This window comes from Homo sapiens, chromosome 4 (genome assembly GCF_000001405.40).
Source record: "Homo sapiens chromosome 4, GRCh38.p14 Primary Assembly".
Classification (NCBI taxonomy): Eukaryota; Metazoa; Chordata; class Mammalia; order Primates; family Hominidae; genus Homo; species Homo sapiens.
The window spans coordinates 140050290-140072168 of record NC_000004.12 but is presented as its reverse complement, the minus strand read 5'-3'; the positions used below and the strand labels follow the sequence as shown (position 1 = coordinate 140072168).

At 40.4% G+C, this 21879-nt stretch overlaps 1 protein-coding gene and 1 long non-coding RNA gene across 4 annotated transcripts in view; one reads left to right on the top strand and one right to left on the bottom strand.

The window, feature by feature from the left end:
- MAML3 (mastermind like transcriptional coactivator 3) overlaps positions 1-21879 on the top strand; it is a 437432-nt gene that overhangs the window by 82016 nt on the left and 333537 nt on the right. The gene's annotated exons all lie outside the window — the stretch shown is intronic.
- Positions 8404-21879, bottom strand: part of LOC124900783 (uncharacterized) — a 52131-nt gene continuing 38655 nt past the window's right edge. Inside the window, exons 2-3 of the long non-coding RNA XR_007058278.1 lie at positions 8825-8938; positions 8404-8500 (exon numbers count right to left, since the gene is read on the bottom strand). This is a non-coding gene — a long non-coding RNA (uncharacterized LOC124900783). The remainder of the gene's footprint in view (positions 8501-8824; positions 8939-21879) is intronic.

The following is a 21879-nucleotide window of genomic DNA, read 5'->3' as shown; positions in this document are numbered from 1 at the left end:
TGCACTCATGTCTAGAGAAGGAAGGATTATGGCAGCTACTGAGACCTATCAATGGTTTTCTTCACTTTTAATACTGTTGAGGGAGTGGGTGGAATGAAAGCCGGAAGTGTCTGGGTGACAAACCAATGTTGAGGTACTTGTGGTTGCTTTTTGGATCACAACAGGCTGTCTGTTCTCCCCCTTCCTCCCCCACGTCCACCACATGGGTTCATATCTCAGACATGAACACATTCTTCAAATATTACATTCTAGGACATTCTTGCACCCCACACCAGCCTGCCCAAGGGACTTTCTGATCATGAATGAGAGCTTTCTTAACTAACAATATTCTTGACCATCTGTTCAGCTGGTCACTGAGAACATAAAGCAGATGCGTGCCTTCTCTCTCTCTCTCTCTCTCTCTCTCTCTCTCTAATCCTGGTCCCTGTAAAATTATAAGTGTAAAGATTTTCTGTGTATTGGATCTGAAAGAGAATGTACGCTGATACGTTTCACTGTGGATTTTTTTTTTTTTTTAAACTGTGAGATCTATGTGGCTGTGGGTCTAAGAAATGAAGGGATTTGTTTTTAAGTCCTGGGCTATTATGTATGTGTTTATGTTTATTATCATAGGCCACTTTGCATTTCTTGACATTAAAAAAGTAGATGTCTTGAGTTCTCTGTTTTTAACATTTAAAACTAACAGGGTTAATGGGAATGTCCACGATAGCAGGGCTGGGGACAGGGGTGTCACCTCAGTGTAAAAGCTGTAAAATTAAAAAGCTGGGCAAGTATCTGTGCCTGGATGGTTTCATGGAGCTGCAGGAATGTGTCTTCTGGAGATCCATTTCCTTGCTAAAGAAGGAAAAGGCTGGTGGAGTCAGCTGGATGGGACAAGTTCTGGGCAGCCATGCAGCTCTCTCAGATGGTGTTCCTGAGGGGAAGAGAGGGAGAGAAAGAGAGAGAGTGTGTGCGGAGTCTGTGCACACATGGGTCGTCTGCAGCAGCTCTTTCAGACAGCTTGTGAGAAACGCCAGTTGTTTTTGTCCTCCCAACAATGACAAGGTGCACAGTATGCATCCGATAGACAAAGGAGGCTTCAGAAGATGAGACCTAGGCGAGTGATCCTGGAAGCTGGAGTTCAGGGCAGAAAAATGCTGCCTTCCTCCTTAGGTGGCACATTATTATCTGCTGTGGGAAGTTTGGCAGTGCCCACGAAGACCCCAGCGCCACATTGCAAGGTGGCTGCAAGGCCAGACCTAGCTGTGTGGTTATTAGCACAGAGGAGGTTCCCCTCTGGAGAGGGAAGGGGCCTTTCTACTTCCTAATGATGTTTAATGGATGACTATCTTAACCAAAGGGAGAGGGGAAAAGTCATTTGTGTGTGTGCAAGTCTCAATCAAGTTCGAATAAAGATAATAAGCTAAAGTATGAAGAAGTTGCCTTAGGTAGGAGTCCTACCTTCTGAAGTGGCTCATCTGAAGGCATTTGTCCACTGAGTGTTGAGGCTTTAAAACTGTTCATTGTCACATAGGTGCCATTTGTAGTATTTCGAGGAGTTTTTATGATTCTGACTTGGGCTTTGCTGAACAAATTCAGTTTCATTTCGGTTCTTGGGTGTCAGTTGTAGAGATGCTACAAGGCAGTTTGTCTGCCTTTTCTTTGTGGGTTCTGCTTTCAGTTTTGAAGCTTTTCTCTTTTTGTTCTTCTAGAGTGTGTTCTACTTTATTCTGAATATCTTCATCAGTGAACTGAAAAAGTAAGCTCACCTTCAAAGAGAAGCATTTTAATGATGGCAAAACAGGCTTACTAAAGATTAAAATGAGATTGTCTGTAGGCCTCAAAACCAAAGTACTTGGGCTAAAATATGAAGAGATTTTTTCCCAACCATTTATTTTAACATGAATGTATGCTACTCATTCAACAAGTATTTCTGAAGCACTTGCTAAGTGGGAAATATTGAAGCTGGAATCAGAAATGCAGTGGTGACCAAGACAGTGTCCTTGTCCTCACAAAACTTAGAGTCTGGCTCTTTTTTAGATTTTTATTTATTTATTTATTTATTTATTTATTTGAGATGGAGTCTCGCTCTGTCTCCAAGCCTGGAGTGCAGTGGTGTGATCTTGGCTCACTGCGACTTGTGCCTCCCGGGTTCAAGCAAATCTCCTACCTCAGCCTCCTGAGTAGCTGGGATTACAGGTGTGCACCACCACACCTAGCTAATTTTTGTATTTTTAGTAGAGACAGGGTTTCACCATTTTGGTCAGGCTGGTCTGGGACTCCTGACCTCAGGTAATCCGCCAGCCTCGGCCTCCCAAAGCGCTGGGATTACAGGCGTGAGCCACCATGCCCAGCCTAGATTTTTTTTTTTTTAAGGACTCCAGTTCGATCTTTCTCCATGGTATGATTTTACTATGTATTCTATTCTGTAGTCCTTCTGCTACTAAATGCATCCCGGCTCCTTCTTCTTTCTTCTTTCTTCCTCCTTCTTCTTCTTCTTTCTTTCTTTTTCTTTCTTTCTTTCTCCTTCTCCTTCTCCTCCTCCTTCTTCTTCTTCTTTCTTCTTTCTTTTTCTTCTTCTTCTTCTTCCTCCTCCTCTTCCTCCTCCTCCTCCTCCCCTCCTCCTCCTCCCCTCCTCCTCCTCCTTCTTCTTCCTTTCTCCTTCTCCTTCTCCTCCTTCTCCTCCTCCTCCCCTCCTCCTCCTCCTTCTTCTTCCTTTCTCCTTCTCCTTCTCCTCCTTCTCCTCCTTCTCCTCCTTCTCCTCCTTCCCCTCCTCCTCCTCCTCCTCCTCCTCCTCCTCCTCCTTCTTCTTCTTCTTCTTCTTCTTCTCCTTCTCCTTCTCCTTCTCCTTCTCCTTCTCCTTCTTCTTGGACAGAGTCTTGCTGTGTCACCCTGGCTGGAATGCAGTGGCGCAATCTTGACTACTAGAGAAAAAGCCAGCCCCTGCATAGTGCAACCAAGTCAAAAGACTCCACATTTCCCCTTCTACTATGGGACAGAAATGTTTTGAAGTTGCAATAATCAAGGTGAAATTTTTTTCCCATGTAAAGTCGAAGCTGATAGAATCACATATTGATTATGTGGTTATTCAAGCTACTTAGAAAACCTGATTTTTCTAAAAGCTACCCATCTTGTGGTATTTCCATTGTTCTTTTTCACCTTTTTCAGAATATAAAGAAGGGAGGAATGAGAAGTTCAGAAAGTTTGACCTGTCAAATTATAAAATTCGTCAGCAACTCTTTCAATGTTTGGTTGCAATAGGGAGGTAGAGAGGAAGATAGAAACCAGACAAAGCGAGGGTAGTGGGTCCTAATTACATTAATAGCTAACATTAACTCAATGCTTACTATGTACTAGAGAGTGGCCTAAGACTCTTCAAATAGTAATAATGATACAAAAACAACACATATTTATTGAGTGCCACTATGTGCCTGGCTCTGCTCTTCATCTTTTATAGGTATTTACATATTAAATCCTCACAGCAATATGAGATAGGTGATATTATTTGTTATTGTTTTAAAAATGAGAAAACAGATTTTAGAGAGGTAAAGTAATATATTTTAAAGTCCAGCTTGGAAGTGACCGGGTTAGGATTTAAATCCATATTCGTTTCATTCTAACACTGGGAGAGTGAGCTCCTGGTAGAGTTCTCTTTCCAGAACAGTGCTTGTTTGCATTCTCTTGCAAATTTAAGAAATGACTCAATCAGTCTGAAAAGTGCCTAGGTAGAGAGAGACCCTTGTTTAAGCACTCACACCCACTACATGTCTTTGAAAATTCCTTTGTGAGTGCCTTCAAGTTAGTGATCATACTGTACCTTCCCCTTGAGAAAATAATTCATGATATGCTTTCCAAAGCATTTACTGTGTACAAAGCCTGTGTGTGCTCAGGTTGATGGGAGAGTAAAGTATCTGCAAAGATTATAGAGAATGCAAAGATTAATAAAGCCACTGCGGCAGTTGCAAAACATGGCACCAAAACTAGTTGACACTCTTCCCATTGAGAGGTGAGGTCTATGTCTCCTTGCATCTGGGTGGGCTCGTGACCACTTGGACCAAGAAAATACGTGGGAGTGATGCTGTGTGACTTCCAAGGTTTCCAAGGCTAAGTCAGAAAAGGCCTTTCTGTTCACAAAAAGCAGATTAAGAAAGGTTAAGATTGCCAGGTGCGGTGGCTCACGTCTATAATTCCAGCACTTTGGGAGGCCAAGGCAGGTGGATCACCTGAAGTCAGGAGTTCGAGACCAGTCTGGGCAGTGGTGAAACTTTGTCTCTACTAAAAGTACAAAATTAGCCGGGCGTGGTGGCATATGCCTATAATCCCAGCTACTTGGGAAGCTGAGGCAGGAGAATTGCTGGAACCTGGAAGGCGGAGGTTGCAGTGAGCAGAGATCGTGCTGTTGCACTCCAGCCAGCCTGGGCAACAGGAGTGAAGCTCCATCTCAAAAAAAAAAAAAAAAAAAAGATTAAGATTGACATTTATGTATTACCTGAAATATACATTTTAAATGTTTGAAAGCTTTAAATGTGGGAAGAAATTCAGACTTATGTTATATTTATTATCACAAATAGAATTAGCTGCCTAATCTTGGCCATTGAGTATGCTTTTTAAATATTGAGACAATACAGAAAACTCTGCTGTTTTAGGAACTTAATTCTATCAACCATACCCCTCCCCACCTTAATTATGTTTATATCCTAGGACATGACAATTTAACTACATATAGACATTGTTAGCAAGTTTTATTGTAAATAATACGTATGCTGTCTCCCTCCCTAACCTTGTTGGCTATCCCAAGCACTTCTCTAGAATCTGTGTGACAGATTTGCAAACTCTTGGCCATTTTGATAACTGGGCTCAAGTCATATCCCTGAGCAGTAGAGTAAATTAAATCCTTTCTGAGAGTCTTAGATGTTTTTCTATGTCTCTTCTTTCTTATTCTCTCTCTGTTTCTTTCTCTCACTCACACACACACACACACACACACACCCCTAAAATTTGTTCTGAATGGCCCACTAGGGCTGAATCATTTAGTGACTTCATTGATTACTATCCTGAGTTCTTCTTCCTGCTTCCAGACTAGTGAAAATATTCCAGAAAGCTTTAATATTGGAGAAAAGGCATGCCAAAATGTATTATTCAGGGATTCATAGATGAACATTATTGTTGCGGTTGCTCGTAGAAGTCATGCTGGCCCTAACCCATTTACATAAAAGATTGGAAACCTTTGAGATTAAAAATAGCCTGTGTGGTATAAAATCCCTTTCATTCTGTATCTGAAAAATTGGCACTAAAAGATTTGCAGTTCATCTCTCAACACAGATGTGCAGATATTAGGTTCAAACTGATACTAATTGAGACTTAAATTGGATGGGTTCTCCCAGAAAGGAAGCAGCAGTTGGTGGGATAGGTAGATCTGGGGCAGTCCTGGCACTGCCTGACAAGTGTTTGGCTATTCTAGGCCAGGTCCACACAGGCCTCCTGTGCTGTGTATATTCCCTGCCTCTGGTGACCTTGCAGGAAATAGAGTCATTTTTCAGCAATACGATTTTTTTTCCTGCTCCTGTTTTTGTGGATATCCTTGTATTCTGAACTAAATTGGAATTCCCTGCTCTGAGATTAATTCCTAGGGCACATCTTTCCACATACATGTCAAATTGGGCAAGCTGACTTGTGTGGCCTGAGAAGTCTGTACTTCATTAGGGAGCACTCTGGGTTTTAAGTGTCAGAATGGTGCTTTCTAAAACCTCTGTCAAGAACAGCAAGTAGAGCGATGCCAACGTTATCCAGGGAACCTGTTGCACATATCAGGAGCTGGCCTTTATTCCATGTCTTCTATGCAATAAGGCACTATGTTAGCTACTTAATGATGTAGTTACTCCTGACAGCAACTTCAAAGGCATTATCCCCACCTTCATTGTTAGAAAGCCAAGGCTAGAGTGATTATCAGTCCTGTTTGATAACAAAGTTGTGATTCATACTCAGGTCTGTTTGCTGCTCAAATTCATTCACTTCTCATACACACCAGTTTTGAAAAGCAAAGGTCTAATCTGGGAAGTTTCATATGTCTGATTCACTTATTTTCACACATCTTTTTTGGTCTGGTTAGTGGACACATGGATGTGTTTCTGAAAATTGTGTGTGGGTCAGTCACCAGTAACAGTGTGCACACCAGTTGCACATATCAGAGGTCTGTGTAAGCTCTTACAAATGAGGAAAACTTTGAGTAAATCCTTTTGTAAAGTTAGGATGTCATTTATGCATGGAGCAGATATTTATTGAGCAGCCTCTTCATGCCAGGAGCGGTGCTGTGGTATGTTTCCTTATGGACCTTCCTGTTTGATGGAGGTGCTGGGAATCGTGGTGGTGAGGTGGGCTGGGCAGAGGAAAACCCTTTTTATGATGAGAATAATCTCACATGGATTCAATTGGTCTATAGCTTTTGATATTCATGAGTTCAATTACTTTTTAAAGAGGGAATACAACTTGTAACTTTTGATAGCCTAGGAGAGACATAAGGCAGGTCTGTTCCAGAGTGGGTTCAAAAACCTTAATGTGGATGAGTCAGGGTCCAAATTCTCACAACAAACTCTGCTAGCCTTGCTAGTCTGACAAGTGGTGAAGGTCAGCAGAGACTGTCTGCATCGAGTTTATTCCAGAAGGTCTTGAAGATGGGAAAGCCACGAAGTGTTGATTTTGAAAAGTTACAGCTCTGTGGGTGAAAGGCTGCTCCTGGTTTCCAAAAGCAGAAAGAATGGGCTGTGTTTTATATGAGAAACAGCACCATCAGTAGAGCCAGCTGATATGTACAATAATTACTTCTTTTCTTTCCGCTTCTATAAAATAAATACTAGAGAGATCGGCTTCTACCTTGATGAAATTTTTCTCGGGGAAAAAAAAAAAGCAAACCGTAAGTCCAAATACAACTGAGTGTTCAATGTTAATTTAATGTATACTTTTCACATCTCTCACTATATGTAACTTCACACAGTGGCTTTTGGATTTTACTCTGTAGAAAAGCAAGTTTATACTTCTGTTTTGCTACTAGGTCTTGGCATTTAATGGTAGAGACAACTTCATGGATAAGAGTTTTACCCCACAAGTGACTTTACATGTCCGTGAAAAGGCAGAGACGACCTCAATCCAGACTGACTGGTGGTGATTAGAAAAATGTCATCTCTGTTTTCAATTTAAAGAGTAATTGAGTGATTTGGGTGAAAGAATCTTCATTTTCAGCAGATGGAAAGTTTGGAATCTTTGGAGCCTTCCAGCAATTTGAAAAGGGCCTTGAGAAGACCTTCTAGTAATTAGAAGAGCTTCAAGAAACAAAACTTATAAGTCTCCCCTCAGTTTTAGGGCATAGCTGTTGTTCTGTTGTTTTTGGTAAGGCGAGTAGGGATGAAGGTCAGGAGAGAGAAGTGGTGATTTGCTGATAGGTGGACAGAGAAGGAAGGCGAGTTCTTCTTGAGGGACAGACTGAGCTGATGAATACACTCTACTGTTAAATATTGGCTTCCAAAGAGGACCAGGCCACAGCAGAGTCAAAAGGGACTCAAGTTTTGTTCCTTATTGATCTGCTGGGAACTAGAAGCCCAAGCTGGATGGTTACCTTTTACCTTTCATCGAGGAATCAGCCCAAAAAACTCGTTCTTGAAGTGTGGAAAAGCAGAAAGCCACCCTCTAACCCAACTATGTAAACAACAGAAACATTTACACATCAGTAAAGCACTTTTATGTGCCACCAATTGAGAAAGTTTGGATACTTGTGTTCCCTTTACATTTCATCTTATCAAAACGCAAAAGGCTTTGAATGTCCTGCTTACATTTCCCCTGGCATGAGTGTTATATCAGAATGCTAAGATACCTTGCTTATGAAATAATTGGATTTACCTCTCAATTCAGTCATTGCAGTAGGTACTTTATAGAATACATTTTTTTTCCTGAAATACCTCCACAATGACCATAGATTCTTCAAAGAACCAAATCAAAGGGGATTGTTTGAAATTTAGAAAGCAGAGGCCCATTTATGTGATTAAATATGGATTAGAACCAAATTATTAAAATACAAAGTTTACGTCTGATTTTCCCCAGTAAGAAGTGGGGACGATGTAAGAAATGGGGACAAGGTAAGAAATGGAGTTTTCCCAGGAGTTCTAAGGAGGAGAAGGGGTCTAAGAAGATACAGGGTGTGTCTTGATGCTTGATGAGCACATTCTTAAATAACCTCTTTCAGCATGCCTAGTGTGACTTATTTCATATCCACCTATAGCATCTGTTTGTATATTCAGTGTTCTAGAGAGCACCACACAACGTATCATAGTGCTACCGTATGTTTAGCAAAATCTTGGGCTAAAAGAAAGACAACTTGAAATCTTTCCTTTTACTTTTTTTTTTTAAAGCAAGCAAGCAAACAAATAAACAAAGTAAGAAGTAAAGAAGACATTTATAGTGTTCCAGATGGTCAGTTACTGTCAGTTACAGTATTTCAGTCTTCTGCTGGAAGATTCTAACTTCATGATGTCTGCAAATAAGAAGATGATGTGTGTTTTAAACAAGCTTAAATAATAACTGTAAAGACCCCAAAGCAAGCTATAAAAGGGAATATTGGCCCCTGTGGGAAGTAAATTGGGAAATCCATTAAGGCTACCCAAAATGTGGACCAGGTAGGAAGCAGAGATAGTGCTGAGAGGGCCCCACAGTGAGTGTGTGGGAGGAGGACAGGGGACCTCTCTTACCAGGGACACTGGCAGGCTTTGGCTTTCCAGACAGAATGGCATGACTTGAGTCACTTGTCTTCCTGATTATTTCCTAGGAAGGATCTATCTATGCATCTTTAAATACTGACGGCTTATTACAGTCCTGTCCTCCTCTTGAGATTCATTTTCTCTCTCTGTGGCTTTCATTCCCTCTCTGTGTCTCTGTCTTCTAAGTTTTGAGTTCCGGCCTGGCTGTCTCTTTCCTGCATGGTCAAGAGATATTAATAAAAATAGGTAAAATTGTTTGGCTTTGAAATCCAGCGAACTTGAGTTCTGGCCATGCTTCTTAATAGCCCTATGGTCTTAAGCAGATTACTCAATAGCAAATTGCCTCTGTTTTCTCATCTAGAATGGGGCTAATAATACTTGCATCATGTTGTGAGGAGCTAAGTAAATAATGTATATAAAATGTTTAGCACAGTGCCTGGCACATAGCAAATATTTAATGAGTGGTAATACTTTCTATGAAAAATATTAAGATAAATGTTGCAGTTACTCACTTGTAAACTACAGAAACGTGTTTATCGACCAGAATTCAGTATCCAGCAACCTCTTCTCCTGATGAGTAGACTCAAGGAAGTACTGTGCAGTTGAGGAAATAAGTGGAAAAGACTTCTACATAACCAAAATAGATACTCAAAATCTATGTCCTGGAACTGTGCACTTTCCTCATAGCGGTGCTTTTCCCATTCCTAAGCAGTTGTTTACTCATTTCATCCTACCTATTTGTATTGTATATGTGATTTTAGCAACTGCAACAACTGATTTCTAAGCTTATAGCAGATTAGATACAGCAAATTAGAAGAGAGTAGAACTAACAAAGGCAGCTACCTGGTGGGCAGAAATAAATAATAATAGCAAGTAGTAGGAAAACCCATTGAAAGCAGACAGAAAACTCTCAGAGCGCAGCAATTTAGAGTCATTTAGTAGCTGACACTGGTCGTTAAACCTTAGCCTCCATCACAGTCATCTTGTGGGCTTGCTTAAACATAGATAGCGTGGCCCTGCCCCAAGAATATCTGATTTAATAGGTCTGGGAGGGGTCTGAGTACAGTATTTGCAGTTCTGTCAAGGTGATGCCAGTGCTGCTGGTCCTGGAACCATGATGGTGTGGGAGACAGTTCACCACTGCCTGTTAAACTGTCTGATTTTCATGATCCAGAGATCAAGAAAAAAGTTTAATTTTGTTCATGTTCTCTGCTTAAGAAGGCAAAAGGGTCTGAAGGTATGTTACTCAAAATAATTTTTTAAAAAAACCTTTTTCAGTGTGTGAGGAGGGAAACTTTGAACTATCCAGAAGAGAGATTGCTGTCCACAGTGATGCGTCATCTGAGGCTCCTAAGTAACCAAGTCTGCTGGGTGTTGTTATAATGGGGGCGGGAGGTATCTGTTCCTACTTGACAATGCTATTTATGGTTTTTTGGAGGTATTTGTGTTGGGGATTGCTGTACATTCTCCTCCTTTCTTAGTGACTTTCTAGACAAAAAGACTTCAGAAACAGATGTTTTTTTCTGCCACACCAACTGTCTGATTCAATGTAGCTCTCATAAATAGTTGAGTTTGTTTCAGTAACAATGTCAAAACACTGGGCTCTGTGGCAGTTGCATATACAGGCACCATATTGTCATTCTCTTCTCAGTTCCTTTTGCCAGTTAGTGGTAATTTCTGCCAACACCAAATGAAGTCTAAGTAACAAGCTTTGGACTAAGGTGACCGCTTCTGAGAGAAGCAACAGCCTTCCTCATGAAAACCATTTCCATTCTGAACATCATATTTTCTTATTTTTCATTAAATAGGTGAAAACTATGTCTAGGTTGGCACAAATTTTTACTGGCCAAGGTTGTATTTTAGTAACTGCATGCAAACTTGGTCTTGTTACTTGCCTTGAGTTGACGTACTGGAATTCTTGCATCATGGTGAACTTTGATCATTGTTTTGATTACAGAAATCCTTCAGAATTCTTTCATACCAGAACTTCTAAGAACAGCATTTTGTTTCCTGCCAATCTTAGCTGTGCTAGATTGCTGTCTTCCTCCTGTATCAGAGGCAGTATGTTTTTTGACTAGACAGTGAATGCAGTCTCCCATATCGTAGTTAGGAGGTTACTTTCATTAGGCAGATCTCTCTCTCTGATAAATCTCCTTGGTGCACTGAACTGTTTAACTTACTTAGGGACTGTGTTTTCTTTTGAGTCCGATTCCTGTAAAAAGCGATGACTGTTCCCAGGGTGTTCACTGAAAAATGAAATACGGCTCTAGGATTTGGTGCTGGTGGCTGAGGGAACAGGAAAAATAAAGGGAAGATGAGTAGAGCTTTGACAATCCAATTCTGCTTGTGGGGACCACGTAGAAGTCCACATCAAACGTGCGTGCCTTTTTGTCACTCCTGACTGTATAAAACCTGAGCCATCATATTTCTTCATGGTAACTTGGAATGAAAACAAAGATTTCTGGGGCTCCAGTTGCTGCTTTTCCCTTCCTATTTAACTTAGCAGATGATGCTCTGCTGAATTTCAGCTAGAACCTGGGCCCTGTGACTGAAATCCAATGGCATATGTATGTAGATTTCCACTATTATATGTGGTCACGCTGATTGTTATATTAATATCGTAATTAGGAATAGGTCAAACATTTTACTTTTATATGAATAACAAAATATTCAATACCTGTATTTAAATGAATTCTAGAATATTTGAGGGCATCAGAATATCATTTATAATAGTGACATTTTACTTAGGCAATGGTTATTCAAACACTATTTTATAACATTAATAAAGGATCTGACACTCTTTGTAGGAGAAATCCGTAAAATAAGCAAGACTGTTAACTTTCCTTTTAATTTAGTGTCTGTCTTTGAAATGGCATTCTATGCATTTGCTGTGACTAGACATGCCCTGTTCAAAGATCTAATGCCCTGTTCAAAGAAATTCTTATAATGTTTTTCAGAACTGTGTTACTGAGCTGTATTGGGGAAGCATATTGGGGGTTAAATTAAGAGAACTTAGCCCATCTTGATTCACAGGCCTGACTTTGATTTCAGGCTTGTGACTTTTTTTTTTTTTTTTTTTTGAGACAGAGTCTTACTCTGTCGCCCAGGCTGGAGTGCAACGGCACGATCTCAGCTCACTGCAACCTCCCCCTCCCGGGTTCAAGCAATTCTCCTGCCTCAGCCTCCTGAGTAGCTGGGATTACAGGCACCCGCCACCACACTCGGCTAATTTTTGTATTTTTAATAGAGACTGGGTTTCACCGTGTTGACCAGGCTTGTCTCGAACTCCTGACTTCAGGTGATCCACCCGCCTCAGCCTCCCAAAGTGCTGGGATTACAGGCGTGAGCCACTGCGCCCAGCCTAGGCTTGTAGCTTCTAATGGCTCTATTGTTCCTTTGTTTTGATGTCCTTGCAAACCCCAGCTAAACTTTTCTAGACCTTTATTAATTGAAATAAAAATAGATATTCTATCATATATATCACATCATATCAAAAATTGGGGATCTTTTGACTTTCATATATCATAATTATTTTGTTGGAGAAAAACATTTTTGCCAATGCTTTAGATGCCTTTTGCTGTTCTTTTTGAAAAAGATGCATATTTGATTTTGCCATTATAATGCTATAGAAACCCTGACAATTTCTGCAAAACTAACAAATCCTTTAATTTTTTCCTATATCTTATCTTGGTCTTTAGCTCTTGTAGACACACTTAAAATTATATAGGTCAGTTTTCACCCCAGCCTCCTCTCAGTGAGGAATATGCTAATATGAATTTATGAAATTTGACCTATATCAGACTATCTTCTGGCCTAGATGTGGTAATTCCTTTCTTGACATTCAGCCATTTCTTTATGCATTTCTTTTATGAGTTTTTAAAATAATAAGTATTTTTAAAATCTCCTTAATAATCAGATAATGAGAATGTCAGAGCATTTCTTTTCACCTTTGCCCTAAATCATCCTCAGTCAGCAGCTGTTCCTGAGCACATTCCTTAGGAACTGGGTGTTATCAGATGTTTGAAACTTTTCCATCCATAAGTCTGTGTACAGTAAAGAGAAGTGATTTCCTTCAGGGAAAGGAACACCCTCCCTGCCAGCAGGCATTGCTCTCAGAAGTGTTCATTGAATCCCCACTTTGCCTTGTGACTGTGTTGATTTTACCTGGTATGCTCCCGTGACTGTGCTAGGGATATTACAATGAGTAAGAAAGAGGTTTTCTTTTCTTCCTCAAGCTTAAAGATGCCCTAAAGCTTTTGGTAATATAAAGGTACCTGTTTCTTTGCTTCTTTTAGACAGATTTTTTTTAAATGAAAGTAAAGCTCCAGTAGAAATAATGAGAGTTGTCCTAGAAAGCACTGCCTTCTGATTCTGCTCTGCATTTAAATAATCTAGGCAAAAGTGAAATCACATTGAAAAAAACAATCTTCACCTGAATCACAGTGTTGTTCAGCATATGCAGAAGAACAGATGCCATTACCGGCGTTTTATATAGAAGATGCCATCTTCTCAGGAGAAAACATAGCCCCAGACTCTTCTTTCATTTGTCTCATACCGATTCTCTTTTTCTTTTTCTTCCTTTATTCTCTGTTCTAACTGTGTTTGGATTTCTTATTGGGCCAATAACATGAAGGTCCTTGTTTAGACCCAAAGGATTAATTCAGAAGAACAGGAAAAAAATTATAAAACAAATTAAATGCTCAAATAGGAGACTAATGAAACAAAATGATAGTGGATTAAAATAATGGGAATACCAGAAAGCTAGAACATGATGAGTTAGACACTATGTTAAAACATGAGAACATGAAATAACTGAGACAGGCAAGATACAAATACTAAGAAAATATAGATTAACAATAATGCCATATATATATATATACATGTATTATATCTAACAATATAATTTTATTATATATAATATATGTGATTGTTCATTTTATGTCCAATATCTATCTACTCAGCAGGAATAATGAAAAAATTACATCAAATGTTAGGTTCTCTTTTCTTAGCAAAGAAACTTAAATTAGTAATTTTTAAAAATACTCTAAACTTGGGGCTAGGCACGGTGGCTCATGCCTGTAATCCTAGCACATTGGGAGGCTGAGGTGGAAGGATTGCTTGAGCCCAGGAGTTTGAGACCAGCCTGGGCAACATAGACCCACTACTAAAAAAAAAAGTACTCTGAGCTTGAAGGGCTTCAAAGACAAAGTGTTCCAAAGGGAAAACATGGGTCTATTTTACTTTTTGAAAGAGTCATGCAATTTTTTCCTTCCTTGTCCATTATTTGTTAATATTTAATTTTGAAAGGGTATGGTACCTTTTAACTTCTTAAATGAATAAAGTAAAACTTCTTCAGTAATCTACATTCCATTTTTTTTAAAAAAGCATTTTTAAAAAGGGACAGAGTAACTGTACGTTTAATCAGAGGTCTTTCATCAACCTCAGTCATCTGAACCTGGAAGTGAGTTGAAAAAAAAAACCCCACAACTCAGAGAAAGGTGGTGGTGGCGGTGGGGGCCTTCACACTGAACCCTGGCAAGGCATGGAGTCACTTTGAGATCCTCCATAAGCCAACCATGTATAAAATGAGGAAGAAGACTAGAAGCAGGGTGAAAGCAACAAGGACAAAAATAGCAGAGAACAGGAAGAAAAGAAATACAAAAAGCAGACTTGGAGACCTGGAAGACATGGTATTTGGGGTCCTTGAATGCAAGATCAAAAAGCCCTAATGAGTTTAATACCTCCCCAACCCAAAGATAATTGAATTGCAGCCCATTATTACTACTAATATTCATAACGATGATCTCATAATAAACCATCAAGAATATGGTATTTTCTGTTTAAGAATACAGGAATATAAATATCTAATGTTTTAGAAAGATTTCCATAAAAGTGCCTTTTACTTCAGCGATAATCTTCAAGTTATCTGGATATTCAACTATGCGGAATATTGCGTTTCTCTTAAAGACTGATAAAATATTATCTTAGCCATCACCTTAGAACATTCTTTTGCTGACCAAGGGGCTGTTCTTAGGTTTCTTCTGTTTTAATGTTGGTAAAACAGAAAAGATTTAAGACAAAAAGATTTTGTCTTCTTTCTGTAATTTCAGAAAAAAAAATCTTCTGGCAAATACTCCTGGAGTCCATATTAGTCTTTTGGGGAAATATATATATAATAGAGACAAGATCTCGTTCTGTTGCCCAAGCTGGAATGCTATCATAGCTCATTGCAGCCTTGAACTTCTGAGCTCAAGCGATCCTCCCACATTAACCGCCCAAATAGCTGGGACTACAGATGCATGCCATCCCACCTGGCTAATTTTTAAATTTTTCGTAGAGACGGGGGTCTTGCTTCATTGCCCAGGCTGGGCACTGGTTGGCTTAAATCCTGACTTTGTTATTTATTATGCTTCTGATTTGGGCAAGTTACTAAGCTTTTCTAATCTGCATTTTTTGTTGTTGTTGTTGCCCCAGAATGGACCCCATGTAATAGGACTGTTGGGATAATCCATTAATGTTCCTGGCTTCGTGCCTGCACAGAGTAAGCACTCAATAATCATAAGCTATTATTGTAACTCCTGATTGGTTTTTATGATCAGAAGACTTAGAGTGGGATAGAACCTTTTTTTTTTTTTGAGACAGAGTCTTGCTCTGTCGCTGAGGCTGGAGAGTGCAGTGGCACATCTCGGCTTATTGCGACCTCTGTCTCCCGGGTTCAAGCGATTCTCCTGCCTTAGCCTCCCGAGTAGCTGGGACTACAGGCGCCCACCACCACCCCTGGCTAATTTTTTGGTATTTTTTAGTAGAGACAGGGTTTCACCATGTTGGCCAGGTGGGTCTCGAAATCCTGATCTCAGGTGATCCGCCCGTCTCAGCCTCTCAAATTTCTGGGATTATAGGCGTGAGTCACCGCGCAGGGCCAGAACCTTTTCTTAATGACTCTAGGAGAATACAAAAAGAAAACTAAGGCTGAGGCAGGAGAATCTTTTGAACCTGGGAGGCAGAGATTGCGGTGAGCCGAGATCGCGCCATTGCACTCCAGCCTGGGCGACAAGAGCAAGACTCTGTCTTTAAAAAAAAAAAAAAGAAAAGAAAAGAAAACTAAGATTAGCTGAGGGCATGCTGTGTGCCAGGACTTGAAATAGGTGCTTTTTAGAACAGATGTCATGACACCCTTAGAAAGTACTTGGGAAACTGGAATGTAGAGAGGTGATTTCTTACTCTGAACACCAGTTAATTTGGTAAAGGGAATTCCCCCTGCAGCAGGAGCCATGCCGCATGGAGGACTGCATACACACATGGAGCTGGCGCCCCAGTGCTTTCCAGTATTGGCCTCTGGGAACATCTCAGCCATCCTTTCTTCTCTGTCAGTGTCTGGGGCTCCCAGCCCTTACTTCTAATGCCACACACCCCTGTTGCTGCAGCTGATTCTCATCTTGCCTCATTTTCCCCTTTCTCTTCTTTCCATGTGCTTTTCTTTTTTCTGTTTTCTCTCCTATCATCAGTTCTCCATTTCTAGGTTTTTGGATAATGTCTTTTATAGGTACTGCAAGCCAGTCAATGTATTTCTTACCTTTTTTTTTTTTAAACTACTAACTGGCCCTTCATTTGGTGACCAGTGTAAATCCTTCAGTTAGGATCTGGGTCTTTGGTCACCATCTGTCTCTGGTACTTAGAGCACTGCCTGACTGCCCATGGTGGGTACTGAGTAGATATACTTGATGAAAGAACTCATGATGTGTAATTTTGTACCTTTGGCTTTTTGTAGTCATGTTTACATGTAGCTGAGTGCTCAAGGAGCTATATTTTTACCTCCCAAGAGGTGGTAAAATATCTGTTTCTAAGCTCCTTTTGAATCTGGGGATTTTGCAGAATTCTAAAGGTTCTAGAAAGCCAGATTCAAGATAAGCAAAATATAGATGTATTTATGATTTACATGTTGTCGTCCAGGCAGCTGATTAGTGACAGCAACCCAGTAATATAGTGAAAAGAATAAGCAAACAAATAAACAAAAACAATAAGCAAACCATCCCCAGGGATCTTTCTAAATAAGGGGCAAAAAAATTCTCACTGCTCTGGGATTTTTTTCTTCAGGTTAGTGCTGGTGGTTTATCATACATACCAAGCCTGCTTAAAACAAACTAATTAATACCATCTTTATATACCCATAGAATTTCAAAAAATGACAAAGAAGTAGGTTTTTTTTTATTATCTGTGTTGTGAACTTGTCACCCCTGTTACTTTGAATCACTTAATTTTAAGAAATAAATGAGATATTTGGGGTAGGGGAATAGAGTTCATCAGAATAAGAGATTCTTGAGTGAGAAGGGACTTTAGAGGCCGTGTGGTCTGACCTAAATAATACAGGAATTCCTTCTACAGAATCCCTGACAGATGGTCAGACACTTGTGTTTTGAATACTTTTTAGTGTCAGGAAATTTGTTATTTCAAGAGGTAGCATATTTCATTGTTGGACAGTTCTAAAAGTTAAGAAATATGTTTAAAAATGAAGACAAAATTTCTATCTTTCTTTCATCCACTGATTCTAGTACACTTTAAAAATATTCTACAGTTGTGTTTTAGCATAGGTTGACCAAATCAATAGCTGTCCAGTATTTGTGGAAGACAGAGGTGGGGACTCATCGCTGTGCTTGGTGCCTTGGAGGCCACTGAAGATTCTAAGGTGGTCCCTGCCTGTGGGGAGCTGATATACTAATTAGGAGACGAGATTAAACACACACTAAATTAACTGACAAGTGATGATCAGATGACTGAAGATTTCCCCATACTGTCATAGATGTGGAAGCCTTGCAGGAGAACGTTAGGAAATAAGAAATAAGCCTTGAAATATGAGTGTGATTTTGCCAGGCAACAAACGTGTGAAAACAGGAGAGGTGCAAGGCATCTTAGGCAGATAATGAAGAGACCACCATCCTCATAGAAACTAAGTTAAATAGGAAGAATATGGAGGAAACTGAAAGCTCTAAAGAAATCTTTATTTTAATCAACAAACCAATGAATCAAGTCTTATGTTACTGTTTTTCTTTTTTCTTTTCTTTTCTTTTTTTTTTTTTTTTGAGACGGAGTCTCCCTCTGTTGCCCAGGTCGCAGTGCAGTGGTGCAATCTTGGCTCACTGCAGCCTCTTCCTCCTGGGTTCCAGTGATTCTCCTGCCTCAGCCTCCCGGGTAGCTGGGATTACAGGCATGCGTCCCATGCCCGGCTAGTTTTTGTATTTTTAGTAGAAATGGGGTTTCACCATGTTGGCCAGGCTGGTCTCGAATTCCTGACTTCAGGTGATCTGCCTGTTCCGGCCTCCCAAAGTGCTGGGATTACAGGCGTGAGCCACTGCGCCTGCCCATGTTACTGTTTTTCAGAACATAAAAGTAATATATGTCTATAATAAAATACAGACATGTCTTAATTTAAAAGTGAAGAGAAAAAACCTTGTCTTTTGTTCTACTTCCTCTTCTTAGACCTAACCACAGTTTTAACCACTTGACGTACATTCTGACCCATGAGCCAAAACCCTAGCCTGCCTGATGTTTTGTATGGCCCATGTGCTAAGAGTGATTTTTGCAAGTTTAAATGGTTGAAAAGATTTTCAAAATAATGGTAATGTTTCATGGCATGTGAAAGTTGAACAAAATTCAGATTTTAGTGTCCAGAAATAAAGTTTTGAATTTTGCCAACCAAAAATTTGTAGAAATGTGTTTTCTCCCTACATTAGAGCCTCGATTTTGTCCTTTGGCCCTCAGAACCTAAAATATTTACTAAATGGCTCTTTACAGAAAAAAAGATTTGCTGGCCCCTGATATATTCAGTCAAAAATTTTAAAATAAATATGTGCATGCATGTATGTTACCATGTTTGGTTTTGTTTATAAAAGTAGAATTGCATGGACCATGTTGTGGTGAAGTTCTTTAGATATGGCACGATTAAGTTAAGGTATCTCAAAGCCCGATGGCCCAGAGGAGAAAAGCCAGGATCTGGGAATGTGGCCCCTGCAGTAATACTGGTGTAAAGTGGTATGCTCCCAAACAGAATTACCTAATTCGGATGGGAATGGGAAAGCCAGATGTGAGACATTCCAAAGCAGTGGTCCGAGGGGCATGCTGAGTCAGTGAAGGAGATGAAGGGGAGTAGTAGGAGTGCCCCCCATTTCCAGGTTGGTGTTGAGAGAATGCTGCTGCCATGAAGACATGAAGAATATTGGAAGGGGCTGTTTGGAGAGACAAGTTTCCAAACAGCCTATCCAACACTAAACCAGGAGCACCAGTTGTCGGTGGCTGCTGTTCATATTACCGTCTGAGGAATGTGTAACTACCCAGAGTGTATTTGTCTCTTATCATGATTGACTTAATACACTTTTAGGTTTTGAATGAGGGGGTTTCTGTGGGCCTCTTTCAGCTCTATATACCTCATAAGTGCTGTCTGTTAGGGTGATACTGGATATTGGGCTTTATATTAAAACAGTTTCTGGAAAAGAACTGATTCATGGAGACAAATTTATCACCACTTACTCACTTTCCCTGTTAGGAGGAAATAGTTGCAGATATAAGAATATTTTGAGGGAAGGAGCTTCTCATCAAATAGAAATATATGGGTTTTTTTGCCAGGCACGGTGGCTTACGCCTGTAATCCCAAGACTTTGGGAGGGCGAGATGGGTGGATCACCTGAGGTCAGGAGTTCGAGACCAGCCTGGGCAACATGGTGAAACTCTGTCTCTACTAAAAATACAAAAATTAGCCGGGTATGGTGGTGTATGCCTGTAATCCCAGCTACTCAGGAGGCTGAGGCAGGAGAATCACTCGAACCTAGGAGGTAGAGGTTATAGTGAGCCAAGATCACACCACTGCACTCCAGCTTGGGCAATAAAGTGAGACTCCACCTCAAAAAAAAAAAAAAAAAGAAATATATGGGTTTTTTGAGGGACATTTAAGGATGCCATTTTGAACACCCATACCCCACTGAACAGATTCCTACACGGGGTCTAGGTGATCCATGGCAGAGTCACACAATTACACTTTGCACACCCCACACAGATGTGTGTTCAGGTGTGTTCTGCCAGTGGGAAATTCTATGGAAAAGAATGAAAATGTCACTGTTGTGCTATTAATTGGTTATGTAGCTGGCTACCCCGCAGTGGCTCCACCTTGTGGATCCGTGTCTCAGTGGAGAGCCAGTATAGCTGCTTTTCTAAGTATCCTTTCACTTAATACTCATTTTAGTGCTAAAACATTAGAGTTAGGTAGGTATAGGTGGGTAAATTTAGCCTTTTATTTAACTTATGTGTGAACCATTTCTGGGCTTTTCGTAGGTTTTACTTAAGCCTCCCACATTCTCATTTTTTTCCTTAACCCATTTCATGAAAGCAACTGATAAATGAGGTCACAAAGTAAGAAACTTAAAGAAGAATGGAAATAGGGCCATTGCAACTCTGAGACGGTAACACAAATTAACACACAGGGGTGAGGTATCAGTAAGAGGTCTGAGATAGTCCTCACAGGGCTTCAGAGAGAATTGCCTGGTTCTGGTGGCCCAGTGGCTAAGTCACGGGCTTTAAATCAGGAAGCCTGGTTCTTATCCCGGCGCCTCCACTAGCTTGCTCTGTGACGTTGGATGAACTGCTGAGCTCCTCTGTTTCTCAGTGGGAAAATGAGAATAGCACAATGTAACATCCAGTTATTCCAAGTAGAATGGTTGGGAATAAAAAGCAAAATATTTGCATAACACTTCAAGCATCCAGAAAGAAGGGTAATATTTAAATTTTCAGCATTACTTCTGTTCAGTGTGTACCTATCTTGGTGAAGATTCGTTAGATATTCTTTGTCAAAAATGAAACAAGCTGTACCTCCTGAACCATTAATTTAATTTTTTTTTTTTTTTGAGACTGAGTCTCATCTCTGTCACTCAGGCTGGAGTGCAGTAGCTCGATTTCGGCTCACTGCAACCTCCGCCTCCTGGATTCAAGCGATTCTCCTGTCTCAGCCTCCCAAGTAGCTGGGATTACAGGCATGTACCACCACGCCTGGCTAATTTTTTTGTATTTTTAGTAGAGACAGGGTTTCACCATGTTGGCCAGGCTGGTCTCGAACTCCTAACCTCAGGTGATCCACCTGCCTCAGCCTCCCAAAGTGCTGGGATTACAGGCATGAGCCATTGTGACTGGCCTGAACCATTAATTTTATAATCATCTGACTTACTGCTCTTGACACCTTTAAGATGGTTTTAAACTCAGTGTCTATTTTAGGGTAAGTCAAGGGTTCTGTTAATGATTTTGTTTCTTGCCCTTCCTAGACTTATAGATATTGTCCTCAACATAGAGGAATTTTTGCTATGCCTTCAGAGAAGTATAACTGACTTCCATAATTAAATGGATTTCTTTCTCAATGGGAGGGAATTTCTGCCATCTGACTAAATGCATAGAGTAGAAGGGATGGATTAACTAACAAGCTATTGTATAAACTGGAAGTGGAGTTTCTAGATACCTTGATTGTACTAGTGCTTCATATCATATTTTTCCCTGTATAGCAAAATTCAGTGGATACTGAGTAAAACTTTCATTTTTTTTCCAGGATAACTTCATTGGGTATCAAACAGGATTAACAAGTAATTTCAAGGTAGCGATTCTGAAGGAGGTGTGGGCTCTTCTCAGACTATGTTTTCTGCCTCTTTTGTATAGAATCGCTGCGAGAGTTGGTCACTTTATAGATTGACAGCGTGTTGTATTCCCATGGGTGAGGACTCCTGCCTATAGAAGGCCCTGATTTATAGGTTCAGAGGCCATCCTTAGAATGAGGGGGCTGAAAATTTCCTTCTCCAGGTGTTAGCCCAGAGCAGAGAGAAATGTGTTCAGTGGAGCCCACGGCAGTGGAACACATGGCTGCTTTGGAGAACCTGGGAGGCGGTGCGAGGATGTACAGCTGTACCCCGAGCAGTAGGTGTCACTGTAGTCAGTGGCTTTTACTCCTCAGAGCCTAAGGGGTTAATTGGGTCTGGTTTAGAAGGGCAGACAGAGGCCCATCTGTGCCCTCCAGAGTGTTGGGCTTTGTCTCTAGGGCACCAGTTGACTCCAATGAAAGACCCAAGTTGACTCCCATTTTTTTCTCTACGAACGAAAGAAGGATGCTTTCCCATTTATATTTTAGGGTCTA